The sequence below is a fragment of the Homo sapiens genome, chromosome 14 (genome assembly GCF_000001405.40).
Source record: "Homo sapiens chromosome 14, GRCh38.p14 Primary Assembly".
Lineage (NCBI taxonomy): Eukaryota > Metazoa > Chordata > Mammalia > Primates > Hominidae > Homo > Homo sapiens.
The window spans coordinates 91,131,698-91,151,852 of record NC_000014.9 but is presented as its reverse complement, the minus strand read 5'-3'; the positions used below and the strand labels follow the sequence as shown (position 1 = coordinate 91,151,852).

General features: G+C 46.5%; 1 protein-coding gene across 12 annotated transcripts in view, besides 3 other annotated features; it reads right to left on the bottom strand.

The window, feature by feature from the left end:
• Positions 1 to 20,155, bottom strand: part of DGLUCY (D-glutamate cyclase) — a 165,300-nt gene that overhangs the window by 73,780 nt on the left and 71,365 nt on the right. For 4 of the 12 annotated variants that reach the window (NM_001102366.3, NM_001286472.2, NM_001102369.3 and 1 more), the window contains exons 2-3: positions 6,540 to 6,632; positions 3,995 to 4,072 (exon numbers count right to left, since the gene is read on the bottom strand). The exons of 6 other annotated variants lie outside the window; for them this stretch is intronic. The gene's annotated coding sequence lies outside the window, so the exon portion shown is untranslated. Of the gene's footprint in view, positions 1 to 3,000; positions 3,280 to 3,994; positions 4,073 to 6,539; positions 6,633 to 20,155 lie in introns of all 12 variants that reach the window. 2 more of the 12 variants (NM_001286470.2, NM_001102367.2) reach the window with 2 other exon arrangements.
• Positions 9,398 to 9,567: an enhancer, noted in NCBI's record as "active region_8894". NCBI's record gives its function as "activates an Ori minimal core promoter by ATAC-STARR-seq in GM12878 lymphoblastoid cells {active_cell/tissue: GM12878}" and the evidence as "EXISTENCE:reporter gene assay evidence [ECO:0000049][PMID:35858748]".
• Positions 9,618 to 9,717: an enhancer, noted in NCBI's record as "active region_8893". NCBI's record gives its function as "activates an Ori minimal core promoter by ATAC-STARR-seq in GM12878 lymphoblastoid cells {active_cell/tissue: GM12878}" and the evidence as "EXISTENCE:reporter gene assay evidence [ECO:0000049][PMID:35858748]".
• Positions 10,854 to 11,148: a silencer, noted in NCBI's record as "tiled region #15407; HepG2 Repressive non-DNase unmatched - State 12:CtcfO, and K562 Repressive non-DNase unmatched - State 13:Ctcf". NCBI's record gives its function as "represses a minimal TATA promoter and a strong SV40 promoter by Sharpr-MPRA in HepG2 and K562 cells {active_cell/tissue: HepG2 | K562}" and the evidence as "EXISTENCE:reporter gene assay evidence [ECO:0000049][PMID:27701403]".

Here is a 20,155-nt window from a genome sequence, read left to right as displayed (position 1 = left end):
CAAAACCCCGTCTCTACTAAAAATACAAAAATTAGCCAGGTGTGGAGGCGCACGCCTGTAATTCCAGCTACTCAGGAGGCTGAGACAGGAGAATCTCTTGAACTCAGGAGGCGGAGGTTGCAGTGAGCCAAGATCGCACCACTGCACTCCAGCCTGGGTGACAGAGCAAGACTGCATCTCAAAAAAAAAAAAAAGAAAAGAAAAGAAAAAATAAAAAAGATGAATAATGAGATATAAAAAAGATTTTCTTTAGTACCATTCTTGAAATGTTTTGTCACTTTGCAATTATTTTAAAATAAAAAAAATAGGCCAGGCATGGTGGCTCACGCCTGTACTCCCAGCACTTTGGGAGGCCAAGGCAGGTGGATCATGAGGTCAGGAGATCGAGACGAGACCATCCTGGCTAGCATGGTGAAACCCTGTCTCTACTAAATAATAAAAAAAAATTAGCCGGGTGTGGTGGTGGGCGCCTGTAGTCCCAGCTACTTGGGAGGCTGAGTTAGGAGAATGGCGTGAACCCCGGAGGCAGAGCTTGCAGTGAGCCGAGATCACGCCACTGCACACCAGCCTGGGCGACAGAGCGAGACTCCGTCTCAAAAAAACAAAACAACAACAACAAAGAAATAAGAAACTATAGAAAAATTATGGATAAACAAAATGTGGTATATACATACAGTAGAATATTCTTCAGCCTTAAAAAGGAAGGAAATTCTGATGCATGCTACAACATGGGTGAACCCTGAGCACGTTATGCAAACTGAAATAAGTCAGACATAAGTGACAAATATTGTATGATTCCATTTCTATAAGACACCCACAACAGACAGATGGACAGACATGGAAAGCTGAATGGTGGTGACCACAGGCTGGGTCCAGGAGATGGGGTGGGGAATGGGGAGTTACCGTGTAATGGGCAGAGAGTTTCAGTTTGGGAAGATGAAGAGAGTTCTGGAAATGGAGAGTGGTGATGGTTGCACAACAATGTGAATGTACTTAATGCCACAGAACTGTACACTTAAAAATGATTAAAATGGTAAACTGTATGTTGTATATTTTTAACCATAATAAAAATTTTAAATTAAAATGTTAAAAATCAAGTTGTGATTGTTAAAAAACATTCGGATTAAGGCCAGGTGTGGTGGCTCATGCCTGGAATCTCAGCACTTTGGGACGCTGAGGCGGTAGGATCCCTTGAGTCCAGGAGTGCGAGACCCCCATCTCTACAAAAAACAAAAACTAAAAAAATTAGCTGGCATGGTGGCGTGCACCTGTAATCCCAGCTACTCAGGAGGCTGAGGCAGGAGGATTGCTTGAGCCCAGGAGGTCAAGACTGCTGTGAGCCACGATTGCACCACTGCACTCCAGCCTGGGGGACAGTGAGACATTCTCTCAAAAAAAAAGAAACATTCACATTAAATGTTTAGTTTCAAATTGTTGGTGTGAAAAGCAACAATTTTTCAATGTGTTGCTGAAAAGCACCACACCAGACTCAGTGTGTGTCTTGAATATCAAATATTCTAGCCCCGGGGCCCCTGTTCCAGCTCCACAGGAAGGCGCTAATATTGGGAAAGGAAGGTTTTGTGTGGGTGCTTCACACAGGCCAAACTGGATTTTTTTTTTTTTTTTTTTTTTTTGAGATGGAGTCTCACTCTGTCACCCAGGCTGGAGTGCAGCGGCGCAATCTCCACTCACTGCAACTTCCACCTACTGGGTTCAAGCAATTCTCCTGCCACAGCCTCCTGAGTAGCTGGGACTACCGGTGCCTACCACCATGCCTGGCTAATTTTTGTATTTTTAGTAGAGGCAGGGTTTCACCATATTGGCCAGGCTGGTCTCAAACTCCTGACCTTGTGATACGCCCGCCTCGGCCACCCAAAGTGCTGGGATTACAGGTGTGAGCCACCGCACCCAGCCCAAACATAAGCTTTATGACTCTGAAAATTTGGGAATAACTCTGTCTGCCCAGCATGACTGTGAATGTCCATTCTTAGAGAGTTCTAGAATATTTGAGAACCTCATTCTTCAAAGTAAATCTGCTTTTAGTTACTTAGCCAAATAAAGCAACCCAACCAAGTGGCAAAAGTCCAAGGTATGACTGCTAAGGGCAAGAAAGGCCAACCCTTCTGTTTCACAGTTTGCTTGGCCTGTAAAACTAGAGCACACGTGTTTGCTTATTTAGTACAGAGTTTCTGCAACGGGTCCATCAGGCCAAATTCCTGTAACCACAAAATATGATGCACGAAATCTACATGCAGGTTGAGTGTATGATACTGCCAACAGTAAACGCTGAGTCATCGGTTCCATGGTTAGTCCTAATGATAAACTAGGCAGTTCCTTTAAGGATGTTTAGCTACTTCTGGCACTGCACAGCTCAACCAACGGCCTGACCCACAAGCCTACTTCAGGGTCACCATGAGCACCACTCCCTGGTTGGAGAGACTGGGGGCTCCACACATCTCCATCACTGGGAGAGAATTTGCCAGAGTGATAACGACCTAGAGACACCACCTGCATACACAGAAGACAGGCTGAACTAATAGCAAAGTATGCAAACTCTTTGGGCCTCAGTTTCTTTCTTTTCTTTTCTTTTCTTTTTTTTTTTTTTGAGATAGAGTTTCGCTCTTGTTGCCCAGGCTGGGGTGCAATGGCACCATCTCGGCTCACAGCAACCTCCGCCGCACGGGTTCAAGTGATTCTCCTGCCTCAGCCTCCCGAGTAGCTGGGATTACAGGCATGCGCCACCACGCCTGGCTAATTTTGTATTTTTAGTAGAGACGGGGTTTCTCCATGTTGGTCAGGCTGATCTCAAACTCCCCACCTCAGGTGATCCACCCGCCTCGGCCTCCCAAAGTGCTGAAATTACAGGTATGAGCCACCGCGCGTAGCCTTTACTTTTCTTTTTTTGAGACAGGGTCTCACTCTGTCGCCCAGGCTGGGGTGCAGTGGCACAATCACGGCTTACTGCAGCCTTGACCTCCTGGGATCAAGCGATCCTCCTACCTCAGCTTCCTCAGTAGCTGCTACTACAGGTACACTGCACCATGCCTGGCTAACTTCTGTATTTTTTTGGTAGAGACAAGGTTTCACTATCTTGTCCAAGGCTGGTCTTGAACTCTTGAGCTCAAGTGATCCTCCTGCCTTGGCCTCCCAAAGTGCTGGGGTTACAGGCATGAGCCACTGCGCCCAGCAAGGGCCTCAGTTTCTTCATGTCAAATGCCACACATGCAGGACAGACATTTTGTTAGCACCTTCTGGTTCTATCATTTTCGTAATCTGTAACTAAACAATAATTTATGAGTTAATGATGTTATTGAGTTTTAAGTTTTTGGTTGTTAAAATAAATTCCTAGCCAGGCACAGTGGCTCATGCCTATAATCCCAGCACTTTGAGAGGCCAAGGTGGGTGGATCGCTTGAGCTCAGGAGTTCGAGACCAGCCTGAGCAAAATGGTGAGACCCTGTCTTTACTAAAAATACAAAAAAATAGCCAGGCATGGTGGTACACACCTGTGGTCCCAGCTACTTGGGAGGCTGAGGTAGGAATATCGCTTGAGCCTTGGGGGTGGAGGTTGCAGTGAGCCGAGATGGAGCCACTGCACTCCAGCCTGGGTGATGGAGAGAGATCCTGTCTCAAGAAAAAAAAAAAATCCTTTGTTAGAGATGTGTGTATCTTTCTTTTTTGAGACAGAGATTTACTCTGCCATCCAGGCTGGAGTGCAGCGGTGCAATCTTGGCTCACTGTAACCTCCACCTACTTAGTTCAAGCGATTCTCCTGCCTCACCCTCCCAAGTAGCTGGGATTACAGGTGCGTGCCACTGCACCTGGCTAATTTTTGTATTTTTAGTAGAAATGGGGTTTCACTATGTTGGCCAGGCTGGTCTTGAACTCCTGACCTTAAGTGATCCACCTGCCTCAGCCTCCCAAAGTGCTGGGACTACAGGCTCACGTGCGCCACTGCGCCCCGTCTGTGTTTCTTTAATTGAGAATAAAATTACCTTCAGTTGGTTGGTCTGGTCTCAGAATCACACATTGGTCCAGAATTACACTTGCCCTGCTCTGAAGAAGAATGCCACCTGAGAGCACAAATGTATAGAAAGAAATGTACATAATAAAGCCATCACAGAAGCAGATATGATGGGACAGATATAATAACAGATGCCCTTTCAACTTGATCCTCTCATGCTAGGCCTAAAATAAAAGAGTTAGATTTAGTGTGTGTATATATGGGTTACGTTTCAGAAGACATGAAATTGGTCTAAATCTAAATAAAAATGAGCTAAGCTCTGCCTAGGTTCATTTACATTCATCTATCAACAGCCTTGCAGAGATGGTTATGTAAGTGCTACGGGATGGTTCCAGCACTTGTTTCAAAGGGTCTTTCAGTCCATTCAAGCTGCATCCAAAAATAGTTGAGGCTGGGCCCTATTCTGTACTGCCTGTGGCTTCACAAACTGAAAACCACCATATCAGACGTGGTTATGCCCTACCTTGCTCGGCTTTCTGGGTTAGATCCTCTGAAATTTCATTTTATGAGTATTCCTGATTACCAAATGTTCAGAACTCAGCTCCTGCCCCACAAATTCTTTATGACATTGCATAAAACCAGTGACAGTGCCACATCCAGGCAGGATGAGGACCACGCACTCCTAACTATGGAGACAGGAATGCTGGCAGTGCTACTTTTGAGGTCACTGTTGGCCAAGATAATTGCTTCACTAGGCAAAGGCAAACCCCCTTAAGTGAGTTTCCTGAGGACTCAGAGAGGAAGGCCACAGGTGCTCCAGGAGGAGGATGCACCATCAGGGACCTTGGACAATGACAGCAAGACAGTGAGAAGCCTCTGGGGACCATTCTACAGGGGACTTCTTCCCTGGCCGTGCAGCTGACAGGCCCCAGGAAGCAGAGTCCCTGGGCTCTCCCTGGCAGCTCTCGGTGCATTTCCAGGGGAACAGCTTGGCAGCCCCGTGCTGGGTGGTGCGCTCCATCTATTTCTATGGTACCTATCACCATGGTACCTACTTGCTCTGAAAAACACAGCTAAAAACAGAACATAAAGAATAGGAGCACAGTCCGCTTCCCTGCAGTCACCTTCTGCAGCTGTTGTTATGCCTCAAGATTGCTCTCATGGGCCCCCTTCCATTCTGAGTTTCCATGTTTTTGTTGTTTGTGACCTTCAAAAACAAGAGGCTTACTAGCCGCATCAGCCTTGTCTTGGGGACAATGTGTGTGGCCTGAGGCTTCAAAAATGTCCCACTCGTCTTGCTGCAGGTGTACATTCCTCCGGGGGACACAGTCACCCAGGAAGCAGCTCCTCCCAGGGCTTGCTCGGAGCCCCATATGAGATGTTTTCGGGAAAGGGGAAAAAGTGGGAGTGGAGGATGACTGTGACGTTAGTGGGCATAGATGCCCCGAGGAAGGACCTGCGCTTATTCCAACAAAGAGGATCCTAAGCTTTCTCAGGAACATGCTGGAAATTGTGCTCAGGGAAAGATCCACAAGGCCAAATCACTTCTCCAAAGGTTTTCTTTAACTCAACAATTATCCTTCACAGCAGTGCTCAGCCCATCCATGGTAGTCAGACAGAACTTGAGTTCAGATCCCAACTCAGCCACTTGCCAGCCATGTGAGATTAGTGGGCAACCTCTCGAAGGTTAAATTTACTCATTTTTAAAATGGGGCATGGGCCAGGCATGGTGGTACACGCCTTAATTCCAGCACTTTGGGAGGCTGAGGAGGGTGGATGGCTTGAGCTCAGGAGTTTGAGACAAGCCTGAGCAACATGGTGAGACCCTGTCTCTACAAAAATATACAAAAATTAGCTAGGCATGGTAGCTGTGGTCCCAGCTACTCGGGAGACTGATGCGGGAGGATTGCTTCAGCCTCAGAGGTCAAGGCTGCTGTGAGCCATGATCACGTCACCGCACTCCAGCCTGGGCAACAGGGTGAGAGCCTGTCTCCAAAAATAAAAAAGAAAATTAAAGAGGGAAAAGGAAATGGGGATGAGTGTATAGACCTTACAGGGACAAGCCCCTTGCTGTGACCTCGGCCTCCATGGTCATTTCTTAGCTTTCCCATCTACAAAATGGGGAGGATAATGGCACCTGCTTCAAAAAAGCTTTGGGATAGTTCCAGGAGATGATGTATGTAAAGTGCTGAGAGAGCACCGGGTATGTTGCAAGCGCTCAATAACTGCTGGAGATGCAGGTGTGAGGAGGAGGAGGGGGATGGTGGTGACAGTTGGGACAAGGATGCTCTGTGGGTACCATTGGTGTCAACCCCGTCTTGGTTCTCCTAGGCGTGACTTCCTGTCCTCAGTCCTGGTGGAGCGGGTACAAATGGGGCCTCAACTCACAAGTGGACCCCTCCCTCCAGACTCCCAGATGCATTCATCAGTGTCTCTGGGCATAGTGGATGTAGCTGAGGATAAGCTCAGGCTGTGAGGTGGGTACACCATGCAGAAGGGTCATCAGCCCAGGTGCTCGATGTGATACACAGGACAAAGGAATTCTCATGTCCTGGAGAAAACCCCAATGTGGTTACCTGCTTGTCAGCTTTGGAGTCAACAGCCCTGAGGACTCAAGTCCCCTTTTGACAGAGTGGCTCTGGACAAGTCACTTGCCTTTCCTTCTCCATCTGTGAAATGGGGCAGAGAGGGAGGTTGGGAGCATTAAAAGAGAAAACGTAGGAGAAGCCTCCAGCCTAGTGTCAGCACACAGTGGGCTCTCAGCAGCTGTGGGCTCCCTTCTTTTCTAACCCCCCACGCTGAACATTTTAAGGCTGAGTAAATACTCCATTTAATGAATAAAGGATTAGGCTCTATAATAGGAGGAAACAGGCTCATTTCCTGAATTTGCTAGTAATCCGGTAAATGCTGCACTAAAACTCCCAGACTCACACAAAGCCTGAGGCCCCGCAGGCTCCCCACAAGGCCCCTTCCAGCACCCCCAACTCCCTCCCAAATGCTCCATTTCTCACAACTCACTTTCAAGAACAAAGAATGCTCTGCTCTAGCCAAACAAATCTGTGGGCTACAATCATATACTGCTTGTGCCTTCCTGCCTTTTTATTTCACAAAAGCAACTTTCCTGTTGTGATCTTTGTGGCTGTCTCCCTGACAAACCCCACTTCCCACGAGAGCTCCCAATTTTCATTTGAGGGTCCATGTGCTTCCAAGGACAGAGCATGCCACTTAAGCTAAGCCAGTCAGCTCATTCCATCCCCCTGGCAGGCAGGGATGGATTCCTGAGATCTAAGCTGGTCCAATCAGGATGACTCCCATGACTCCTTTTTTTGTGATACGCAGTCTTGCTCTGTTGCTAAGGCTGGAGTGCAGTAGTGTCATCTCAGCTCACTGCAACCTCTGCCTCCCAGGTTCAAGCAATTCTCTTGTCTCAGCCTCCTTAGTAGCTGGGACTACAGGCACCCTCCACCATGCCCAGCTAATTTCTGTATCTTTAGTAGAGACAAGGTTTCACCATATTGGTCAGGCCGGTCTCAAACTCCTGACCTAAGGTGATCCACCTGCCTCAGCCTCCCAAAGTCCTGGGAGCCACTGTGCCCAGCCCTGCTCTTCCTGTTTTGACCATTTATATAGTTACCTGATAAATGTTTGTTACCAAACGGCCAGTAGAATCTCCTGAAACCAGAAACACCCTGTCCCAGGGACCCTCCCACCCCGGCTGAGCAGTCTGAAAAGTACCAGGCTCTGGGCTGAATGCTTGACATATGTCATCTCATTTTCAGAAAATGGCTCATTGCATTTATGTTATTCTTGGACCCAAGGGCTGGTGGCGTTTTTCCAAGGCTTGTGAGTGGAGCCTGTTTGGATTGGAAGAGGAGATCTTACACAGAGGAACTAATGCAGAGAGCGGTGGCCCTTCGCGGTGGCACAGAGCTGGATGGAAAGGACAAGGCCTTTAGGTTTAATAATTGACTCTACTTATTACGTGGATGATCTTGGGCAAGTTACTTTGCATATTTGTGTCTCCGTTTTTTCATGTGGCAAATGAAGATGGAATCCCTACACTTCTCTGGGTTATTGGAAGATTAAATCATGTTAGTCAAATACCCAGCACAATGTCTGGCATAGTCTTGCTCTTTCTCTACTGTATTTCTCCTCTGCTGAACACTGACCAGTGGCTGGGCCCTCACAGGTATATTGTCCCCCCATTCTCTGTGGATGACCATCAACCCCACCCAGGAGCTGAAGGGTGATATAGAGGTTCAAGAAAACATTGGCCACCAGGTGGGAAGAAGTCTCCATCCCATTCCTTGCCAAACATAGATTTGCTGTCAGAAAGGCAGAGCGTGTGGAGAAACGGTTGGAGACCAGGCCACTTGTTTCATTGCAAATCCGTTGTATTTAGATTACACCTAAGGCTTTGTCCTCTTGTCTCTGCTCAGCAAGCCACGAACACTTCCAGATCTGACAGCCTGAGCAAACTGTTCCTCAGAACTGCTGCCAGGCGCGGTGGCTCATGCCTGTAATCCCAGCACTTTGGGAGGCAGAGGCGGGCAGATCACGAGGTCAGGAGATGAAGACCATCCTGGCTAACACATTGAAACCCCGTCTCTACTAAAAATACAAAAAATTAGCCGGGCGTGGTGGAGGGCGCCTGTAGTCCCAGCTACTTGGGAGGCTGAGGCAGGAGAATGGCATGAACCCGGGAGGCAGAGCTTGCAGTGAGCCGAGATTGCGCCACTGCACTCCAGCCTGGGCGACAGAGCAAGACTCCGTCTCAAAAAAAACAAAAACAAAAACAAAACAAAACAAAAAAAGAACTGCCAAAACTGCCATTAGATCCTTTTTTTTTTTTTTTTTTTTGAGAGGGAGTCTCGCTGTGTCACCCAGGCTGGAGTGCAGTAGCACGATCTCGGCTCACTGCAACTTCCGCCTTTCCATTTCAAGTGATTCTCCTGCATCAGCCTCCTGAGTAGTTGGGACTACAGGCATGCACCACCACGCCGGCTAGTGTGTGTGTGTGTGTGTGTGTGTGTGTGTGTGTGTGTGTGTTTAGTAGAGATGGTGTGTTGTGTGTGTGTGTGTGTGTTTAGTAGAGATGGGGTGTCACCATGTTGCCCAGACTGGTCTCGAACTCCTGACTTCAGGTGATCTGCCCACCTCAGCCTCCCAACCCAAAGTGCTGGGATTACAGGCATAAGCCACCGTGGCCAGCTACGATTAGACTTTTGAGTGTTACCAAATAACCAGTACATGTTTGCTCAGGGGTTTGTCAGCAAAGGGCAATGTTATACCTCTTCAGGCAAATTCATTTGAGGTGCACTTTTCTGGGGCTTAGGTGGGGGCAGGGAGGCCTGAGGGACAGGAAGAGATAAGAAATCTTTGCATCTTATTACCCTCTTCTAACTTCCTCTTCTACTCAAAGAAGGAGGGAAAGCCCAGCATTTGGTCCACCCCAGAATAAGTCTTCTGTTACTAAAGAGTTTCATCTTTCTAATGGAAGCCGTGCAGTTTCTATTTGTGACAGGAAGTGTTCTCAAAGTGTAGCTCTCCAGGACCCTGGAGTGCTTGTCAAAAATGCAAATTTCTGGCACCACACTATTCCTACTGAATTAGACTCTGCATAAATGATTGTAAACCTTGGGTAGCAATTCAGACCACAAGTTCTAGAGTCAGATAAATATAGACTGAATGCCAAGCTCCAGCTCTACCACCTGTGATCCTTGAGCAGGTTAATTAACCTCTCTGGCCGGGCACGATGGCTCACGCCTGTAATCCCAGCACTTTGGGAGGCAGAGGCAGATGGATCACCTGAGGTCAGGAGTTCAAGACCTGCCTGGTCAACATGATGAAACCTCGTCTCTACTAAGAATACAAAAATTAGCCAGACGTGATGCTACGTACCTCTAGTCCCAGCTACTGAAGAGGCTGAGGCAGGAGAATCGCTTGAACCTGGGAGGCAGAGGTTGCAGTGGGCCGAGATCACGCCACTGCACTCCAGCCTAGGCGACAGAGCAAGACTCTGTCTGAAAAAAAAAAAAAGGCCGGGCGCAGTGACTCACGCCTGTAATCCCCGTACTTTGGGAGGCTGAGGCGGGCGAATCACCTGAGGTCGGGAGTTCAAGACCAGCCTGACCAACGTGGTGAAAGCCCATCTCTACTAAAATTACAAAGTTAGCTGGGTGCAGTGGTGCATGCCTGTAATCCCAGCTACTGGTGAGGCTGAGGCAGGATAATCACTTGAACCCAGGAGGCGGAGGTTGCAGTGAGCCAAAATTGCGCCATTGCACTCCAGCCTGGCGACAGAGTGAGACTCCGCTTCAAAAAAAAAAAAAAAAATTAACCTCTCTGAGTATCCATTGTATCACCTGTGTGAAGGTAATGCTGAACAGTCAAGGGATATGGATCTCATGTGATCGTTCTAAGGATGAAATGGAATAATATTTGTTTAGCAGTGTTTGGCACATAGTAAATGTTCAATATACGATAACTCCTTTTTTTCCTTTTCTTTTTTTTTTTTTAGATGGCGTCTCGCTTTGTCACCCAGGCTGGAGTGAAGTGGTGCAATCTCAGCTCACTGCAACCTCTGCCTCCCAGGTTCAACCGATTCTCCTGCCTTAGCCTCCTGAGTAGCTGGAACTACCACACCCAGCTAATTTTTGTATTTTTAGTAGAGACAGGGATTCACCATGTTGGCCAGGCTGGTCTTGAACTCCTGGCCTCAAGTGATCCACGTGCCTCAGCCTCCCAAAGTGCTGGGATTATAGGTGTGAGCCACTGTGCCCAGCCTGATAACTATTCTTTTTCTATAACACTTACACTCAAGAAAGTCGGAGCACCCTACAAGAAATAACAGACAAACTCGGCCATCATGACCAGCCTTAAGAACTATCCACTGGTAGAAATTTTGACAAGTCTACAGGTCAGCAATCAGACCTGAAGGTTTCCTGAGTCTCATGAAATCCTACAGGATTCACATCTGATCCTCAACAATAGACCAGCCAGGAGAGGGCAGCAAGAGAGAGCCTGAGTCTAACCATTGCTGTTTGAATCACAACCCCTAGGTGTTGTGGGCACTTTACTTGGGAATGTCCAGGTTGATACTCATTTCAAAAGATGGCAGATCTGCTGGCTAGAGGTGTGGCAGCACAGATTACGAATGGGTGGTGACTGTTTATCAGGCTCTTGACTTTCATAAATTATTTTCTTGTTTGTTTGTTTTGGAAAGGGGTCTCACTCTGTCATCCATGCTGGAGTGCAATGGCGTGATCTAGGCTCACTCCAACCTCCGCCTCCCAGGTTCAAGAGATTCTCCCACCTCAGCCTCTCCAGTAGCTGGGATTACAGGCATGTGCCATCATGCCTGGCTAATGTTTGTATTTTAGTAGAGATGGGGTTTCACCATGTTGGCCAGGCTGCTCTTGAACTCCTGACTTCAGGTGATCCGCCAGCCTCAGCCTCCCAAAGTGCTGGGGTTACAGGCTTGAGCCACCGCACCCGACCCATAAATTATTTTCTTTAGATAATCACTCAAGCATCACTATATTGTAGGAAACAACAACATGTCATTGAGACATAGATTTTGGGAGACAGTTTAAATCAAACTGGCAAACTTTTTTGTAAGGTTTGTGAGCTAAGAATAGGTTTTACATTTTTAGGAGTTGTGAAGAAGGAGAAGAAGGAGGAGGAGGAAAGGGAAGAGGAGAAACAACAGTATTGTGAAGGAAAAACAAAAACTTGAACCCTGGTTCACTCTGCCAGAAGGAAGAAAATGAAGCTGAAAGCTGAGTCATGCAAGAATCTGTCTTTCCTTTTGTTCCTAAGCAGATAGCTACACATAAAAGGTTAAAGATCTCTGCAGGTAGTTACTCTATGTTCACCTTATCTTACAGAGAGTGCTGACTTACTATTCCCCTACCTGCTCCCTTTCTCTTGCAACATGGGGATTCAGTCATGTGACCACAGCCTCCCTCTTCCCCCTCCATCCTGCTTTCTCCCCTTTTAAATCCTGAAGTCCTCAAAATCATCTTTGGAGAAAGGCACAGACCCATCTCCTGGGCTTGTCCTTAACCTTGGCAAAATAAACTTCTAAATTGATTGAGAACTGTCTCAGGTACTTTTTGGTTTACAGTGTGATGGTCAATTTTATGTGTCACCTTGATTGTATCACAGGGTGCACAGACATTTGGTTAAACTTCATTTTTTTTGAGACAAAGCCTCAACTCTGTTGCCCAGGCTGGAGTGCAGTGGCACGATCTCGGCGCACTGCAACCTCTGCCTCCCGAGTTCAAGCTATTCTACTGCCTCAGCCTCCCAAGTAGCTGGGATTATAGGCACAAGCCACCACATCCAGCTCATTTTTGTATTTTTAGTAGAGACGGGGTTTCACCATGTTGGCCAGGCAGGTTTCAAACTCCTGACCTCAAGTGATCCACCTGCCTTGGCTTCCCAAAGTGCTGGGATTACAGGTATGAGCCAACACGCCCGGTCTGGTTATTTCTGGGTACATCTGTGAGGGTGTTTTGGGGTGAAATTAGCATTTGAATCAGTAGACTGAGTAAGGAGGATCCCATCCTTACCAATGGCAGTGGTCATCATGCAGTCTACGGAGGACTCGAAGAGAACAAGGAGGAGGAGGAAGGGAGCATTTGCTCTCTGCCTGGCTGACTGAGCTGGGCCTTTTCCTGTCCCTGTACTGGGATTTGCCCCATCAGTGCTCCTGGTCCTCAGGCCTTTGGACTCAGACTGGAATTTAGTCCTTATCTCCAGCTTGCAGATGGCAGATAGTGGAACTTTTCAGCCTCCATAATCCTGTGAGCCAATTCTTTATACTAAATCTGTTTGTCTATATCTGTATCTCCTATTGGTTCTGTTTCTCTGGAGAACAATGACTAATAGAAACAGAGATGCATGTGTCGTGGAAGCCTAAAATATTTAAAATATCTGGTTCTTTACCTAAAAGTTTGTTGAGCTCCTGCTCAGGAGCTGACTTTTGATTGAGCTCATGGTCTCGAAGGCCAATATAACTTAGATTCATGCCCCATCTGATATGGTCTGGCTCTGTGTCCCCATCCAAATCTCATCTCAAATTGTAATCATCATCATCCTCATGATGAGGAAGGGACCATGTGTGAGATGACTGGGCCATGGGGGTAGTTTCCCTGTTCTCATGACAGTGAGTGAATTCTCACGAGATTTGATGGCTTAAAATTGTGACATTTCCCCCCTCCCTCTTGCTCACTCTCTCCTGCCACCTTGTGGAGGTGCTTAAATCTCCTTTGCCTTCTGCAATGAATTTAAGTTTCCTGAGGCCTCCCCAGCCATGTGGAACTGGGGATTAGACCTCTTTCCTTTATAAGTTACCCAGTCTCGAATATTTCTTTTTTTCTTTTTCTTTTTTCTAGACAAAATTTCACTCTTGTTGCCCAGGCTGGAGTGCAATGGCGCAATCTTGGCCCACCGCAACCTCCGCCTCCTGGGTTCAAGCGATTCTCCTGCTTCAGCTTCCTGAGTAGCTGGGATTACAGGCATGAGCCACCACACCCGGCTAATTTTGTAGTTTTAGTAGAGATGGGGTTTCTCCATGTTGGTCAGGCTGGTTTCGAACTCCCGACCTCAGGTGATCCACCCACCTTCACCTCCCAAAGTGCTGGGATTACAGGTGTGAGCCACCGCGCCCAGCTGCGTATTTCTTTATAGCAGTGTGAGAATGGTCTGATACCCCATGGTCTAGATAGGCAGGGGACACTACCTTAGTGCCCAGAACATTTATCTGGATCAACAAAAACCCTCAGGACCAGAAGACAAAGGCAGGACCAAAGAGGAAAGTGTCAGGTCAATGTAACTAATGAGTATAGATATAAAAACTCTAAACAGAGTATTAGCAAACTGAATCACGCAGTGTCTTTTTGGGGCTCAGAAAATGATATCCCAAAGTTTGGTGCTTTGTCATGCTGAGTAGTTTGAACTGAAGGACATTGGGGGGCTCAGAAGCAAGATGTTACTGACCTTTTCCTGTCTCCATCTCTCCTGCTCCCCTCTCTCCCAAGGCAGGCCATAGAAACTAGAATTCCTCTTCCCTAAGGCAGGTGATAGAAACTAGAAACCCTCTCTCTCAAAGCCAGCCATAAAACCTAGAAATATTACTCTAACCTTCCCTTGCCTTTCTGTGTAAGAGCTAGCCATAGAGAAATTCTCAGGCCAAGTACGGTGTCTCACGCCTATGATCCCAGCACTTTGGGAGGCTAAGGCGGGCGGATCATGAGGTCAGGAGATCAAGACCATCCTGGCCAACATGGTGAAACCCCGTCTGTACTAAAATACAAAAAAAAAAAAAAAAATTAGCCAGGCGTGGTGGCGCACGCCTGTAGTCCCAGCCACTCAGGAGGCTGAGGCAGGGTAATCGCTTGAACCTGGAAGGTGGAGGTTGCAGTGAGCAGAGATCACACCTCTGCATTCCAGCCTGGCAACAGAGAAAGACTCCGTCTCAAAAAAAAAAAAGAAAAGAAATTCTCTACCTTTTCTGATAGTAGGCCATAAGACCCTTATTCCAAAAGAGGTCACATTCTACACTCCAGGTAAAAGAACGAGACACAGAGAGACCAAGAAGAATCTGAACAGGGCTGGGCATGGTAGCTCATGCCTGTAATCCTAGCAATTTGGGAACCTGGGGTGGGAGGACCCCTTGAGGCCAGGAGTTGGAGACCAGCCTGGACAACATAGGGAGACCATGTCTCTACGGGAAAAAAAAAAAAAAACCTGAACAGACACGTTCTGCTGGGCCTTTGCCTCCCATCACTCTATGAGCATTAGATCACTCTCTTCTGTCCAACCATATTTCTACACAGCTGGCCATTTTTCAGCGAACCTAAGCATAAAAATAGAGTTTTCCCTGAGGCTTGGGGGTCTGCATTTTTTTTTTTTGAGACAAAGTTTCGCTTTTGTTGCCCAGGCTAGAGTGTAATGGCACAATATCGGCTCACCGCAACCTCCACCTCCCGGGTTCAAGCAATTCTCCTGCCTCAGCCTCCCCAGTAGCTGGGATTACAGGCATGTACCACCACGCCTGACTAATTTTGTATTTTTAGTTAGAGATGGAGTTTCTCCATGTTGGCCAGGCTGGTCTCAAACTCCTGACTTCAGGTAATCCACCTGCCTCAGCCTCCCAAAGTGCTGGGATTACAGGCGCGAGCCACCGTGCCTTTTTTTTTGAGACAGAGTCTTGCTCTGTCACCCAGGCTATAGGGCAGTGGTATGTCTCAGCTCACTGCAACCGCTTCCTCCCAGATTCAAGCAATTCTCCTGCCTCAGACTCCCGAGTGGCTGGGATTACAGGCTCCTACCACCATGCCTGGTTAATTTTTGTATTTTTAGTAGACAAGGGGTTTTCACCATGTTGGCCAGGCTGGTCTTGAACTCCTGACCTCAAGTGATCTGCCTGCCTTGGCCTCCCAAAGTGCTGGGGTTACAGGTGTGAGCCATAGCGCCTGGCCTGGGTCTGAATTTCTAAAGGCTCTCGTGTCACATAAAACTTTCATTAAGAAAATCTGTTATGCTTTTCTCTTGTTAACTTGTCTTTTGTTTTAGGAGTATTGGCTTTGATGGGAAGGAAAGGTATCACACCTTTTCTTTTACCCCTGTAGTATAAAAAATGCTAATGTGGCCGGGCTCGGTGGCTCAAGCCTGTAATCCCAGCACTTTGGGAGGCCGAGGCAGGTGGATCACGAGGTCAGGAAATCGAGACCAACCTGGCTAACATGATGAAACCCCGTCTCTACTAAAAATACAAAAATTAGCCGGGCATAGTGGCGGGCCCCTGTAGTCCCAGCTACTCGGGAGGCTGAGGCAGGAGAATGGCGTGAACCTGGGAGGCGGAGCCTGCAGTGAGCCGAGATTGCAGCACTGCACTCCAGCCTGGGCGACAGAGCCAGACTCTATCTCAAAAAAAAAAAAAAAAAAAAAAAAAAGCTAATGTATCCTAGCCAAGTTGGAATTACCCCAAGAATCCAAGATTGGTTTACTATTACAAAAGTGATTCATGTAATTCATCATATTACCATGTTAAAGGCAAAAAGATACTATCTCAATAAATGCAGAAAAAAAATTAGTAGCATTTAATGTCTGTCAATAATAAAAACTCAACTAATTTGAACTAGAAGTTGATAAAGAACATCTAGCAAGGTTAAAAACAAAAACAGCAAAAGCCTATACCATACTTGTTTTTTTTTTTTTTTTTTTTTAATGAGGCAGAGTTTCACTCTTGTTGCCCAGGCTAGAGTGCAGTGGCTCGATCTCGGCTCGCTGCAACCTCTGCCTCCCAGGTTCAAGTGATTCTCCTGCCTCAGCCTCCCGAGTAGCTGGGATTATAGGCATGCGCCACCATGCCTGGCTAATTTTTGTATTTTTAGTAGAGACGGGGTTTCACCATATTGGCCAGGCTGGCCTCAAACTCCAGACCTCAGGTGATCCGCCCGCTTTGGCCTCCCAAAGTTCTGGGATTATAGGCGTGAGCCACCGTGCCTGGCCTGCCTATACCATACTTAATGGTGAATGTTGAAAGCATCCCCGTGAAGATCAGGAGCAAGGCCTAAGAACTCCCAATACCATCATATTATACCAGCCTGTGTAGTAGAACAAGAATAAGAAAGCAAATAAAAATGTGTAAGGCAGCAGGGCACAGTGACTCATGCCTGTAATCCCAGCACTTTGGGAGGATGAGGCAGGAGGATTGCTTGATCTCAGGAGTTCTCAAGACCAGCCTAGAAAATATAGAGAAACCCTGTCTCTACAAAAAATTAAAAAATTAGCTGGGCATGGTGGTGTGCGGCTGTAGTCCCAGCTACTTCGGGAGGCTAGTGGGAGGATTGCTTGAGCCTGGGAGGGGGAGGTTGCAATGAGCAGAGATCACACCAATGCACTCCAGCCTGGGCTACAGAGTGAGATCCTGTCACAAAAAGAAAAAGAAAAAAATGTGTAAAGGCTTGGGAAGGAAGAAAAAACGTGCAGATATTATGATTGCGTGGAAAACCCAACATTATCTACAAATAAATTATTAAAATTAGTAAGTGAGTTCAGGAAGGTTTCTGTATATAAAATCAATATGTAAAAGTCAACTGCACTTCTATACACCAGTAACAGTTAGAAATGTAATTGTGAGGCCGGGCACGGTGGCTCATGCCTGTAATCCCAGCACTTTGGGTGGCCAAGGCAGGTGGATCATCTGAGGTCAGGAGCTTGAGAGCAGCCTGGGCAACATGGCGAAACCCTGTCTCTACTAAAAATACAAAAATTAGCCGAACGTGATGGCACAGGCCTGTAGTCCCAGCTACTCGGGAGGCTGAGGCAAGAGAATCGCTTGAACCTGGGAAGCCAAGGTTGCAGTGAGCTGAGAGGGTGCCACTGCACTCCAGCCTGGGTGACAGATGGAGACTCTATCCCAGAAAAAAAAAAAAAGAAATGTAATTTTGAATGATACCATCTATAATAGCATGAATAAATATCAATTACCCAGGAATAAATCTAACAAAATATGTGAAATCGTTTATGGAAAATATGGTAAAACTTTACTTAAAGACATTAAAGAAGAACTAATAAATGGAGAGACAGCATGTTCACGACAGAAAGACGCAATGTTGTAAATATATCTGTTCTCCCTAAATTGTATATTCTAGGCAATTCCAATCAAAATCCTAACAGGTTTTTAAAAAGGAACTGAACACGCTGATTCCAAAACTTACAGGGAAGGGTCAAGGGCCAAAAAATAACAAATCGCTTTTAAACAAGAGCAACAGACAGGTGTGTGTTGGGGTTGGGGGCTTGTCCTCTACCAGATATTAAGACACAGAAAACTATGGTAATTAAGATGGAGTGAAAGGGCTCCCACAACTCAACTCAAAAAACAAATGAATAGTCCAATTAAATGGGCAAAGGACTCGAATGGCCCTTTCTCCAAAGAAGCTATACAAATGGCCACTGAGCACATGAAAAGATACTCAACCTCATTACAGAACTGCAAATCAAAACCACAGTGAGATACCACTTGACATACATTAGGATGGCTATTATCAAAGACAAAAGCAAAATTAGAAAAGAAGTATCGGTGAGGACACGGAGTAACTGGAACCCTTGTACATTGCTGGTGTGATGGTAAAATGGTGTAGCCCTCTGTGAAAACAGTATGGCTGTTCCTCAGAAAATTAACATTGGGCTACAGGCGGTGGCTCATGCCTGTAATCCCAGCACTTTGGGAGATTGAGACGGGAGAATTGCTTGAGGCCAGGAGTATAAGACTATCCTAGGAAACATAGTAAGACCCCATCTCTAGAAAAAATATATATAATTTTTAAAAATTAAACATTGAACTACCATGTAATCCAGTAATTCCACTTCTGGTATATACCCAAAAGAATGGGAAGCAGAGATTCGAACAGATATTTGTATACCAATATTCATAGCAGTATTATCCACAATAGCCAAAAGGTGGAAGCCAATGTCCACTGATGGATGAATAGATAAACAAATTTGGTATATACAGACAATGGAATATTATTCAGCCTTTAAAAAGAATGAAATTCTTTGTTGTTGTTGTTGTTGTTGTTGAGACGGAGTCTTGCTGTTGTCACCCAGGCTGGAGTGCAGTGGCAAGATCTCGGCTCACTGCAACCTCCACCTCCCGGGTTCAAGCAATTCTCCTGCCTCAGCCCCCCAAGTAGCTGAGATTACAGACGCCTGCTACCACGCCCGGCTAATTTTTGTATTTTTAGTAGAGACAGGGGTTTCACCATGTTGGCCAGGCTGGTCTCAAACTCCTGACCTCCAGTGATCCGCCCACCTCAGCCTTCCAAAGTGCTGGGATTACAGGCGTGAGCTACCGCGCCCAGCCAAAAAAGAATGAAATTCTGATATATGCCATAACATGGGTGTACCTTGGAGACATGAAAGACATTATAAGTAAAAGAAACTAGACACAAAAGGACTAATATTATATGATTCCACTGATATGAGGGACCTGGAATGGTCAAATTCATAAAGATGGAAAGTAAAATGGTAGTTGCCAGGGGCTGGGGGAAGGGAGGGATGACTGAGGAGTTGCAGTTTGGGAAGATGAAAAAGTTCTGGCTGGGCGCAGTGGCTCACGCCTGTAATCCCAGCACTTTGGGAGGCCGAGGCTGGCAGATTACCTGAGGTCAGGAGTTCGAGACCACCCTGGACAACATGGCAAAACCCCATTTCTACTAAAACACAAAAATTAGCCGGGCGCAGTGGCGGGCGCCTGTAATCCCAGCTACTTGAGAGGCTGAGGCAGGAGAATCGTTTGAACTCAGGAGGTGGAGGTTGCGGTGAGCCAAGATCGTGCCACTGCACTCCAGCCTGGGTGACAGAGCAAGACTGTGTCTCAAGAAAAAAAAAAAAAAAGAAAAAGTTATGGGTCTCCCAAGTATCTTGGACTACAGGCATGCACCACCATGCTAAGCTAATTGTTTTATTTTTTGGTAGAGATGGGATCTCACTATGTTGCCCTGCCTGGTCTTGAACTCCTAGGCTCAAGTGATCCTCCCACCTTTACTTTCCAATGTGCTGGAATTATAGGAGTGAGGTACCACACCCTGCCCATAGTAATTAATATTTATTGTACTTACAAAAATATTGGTCTACAATGAATTTTGGAAAAAAATGAAGTTCAACACAGGAAATTTGAGAGCTCAGGGAAAACAAGACAAAATAAAACCCATAGCCATGTCTGGAAACTTGATTTCTGACACAGAGTAATTGCAGACAAGTGGGTACAAAAGTAAAATTGGGGCCAGGTACAGTGGCGCACGCCTGAAATCCCAACACTTTGGGAGGCCAAGGTGGGCAGATCACCTGAGGTCAGGAGTTTAAGATCAGCCTGACGAACATGGAGAAACCCTGTCTCTACTAAAAATACAAAATTAGCTGGGTGTGGTGGCACACTCTTGTAATCCCAGCTACTTGGGAGGCTGATGCAAGAGAATTACTTGAACCCAGGCAGAGGTTGCAGTGAGCTGAGATTGTGCCATTGCACTCCAGCCTGGGCAACAAGAGCGAAACTCCGTCTGAAAATAAATAAATAAAAGTAAAACTGGAAGCTAATTATCAGTAACAAAAATCAAATCCAGGTAGATCAAATACTTAAATATGAAGTACGAAATATGAAGGATGAAATTAGAAACTT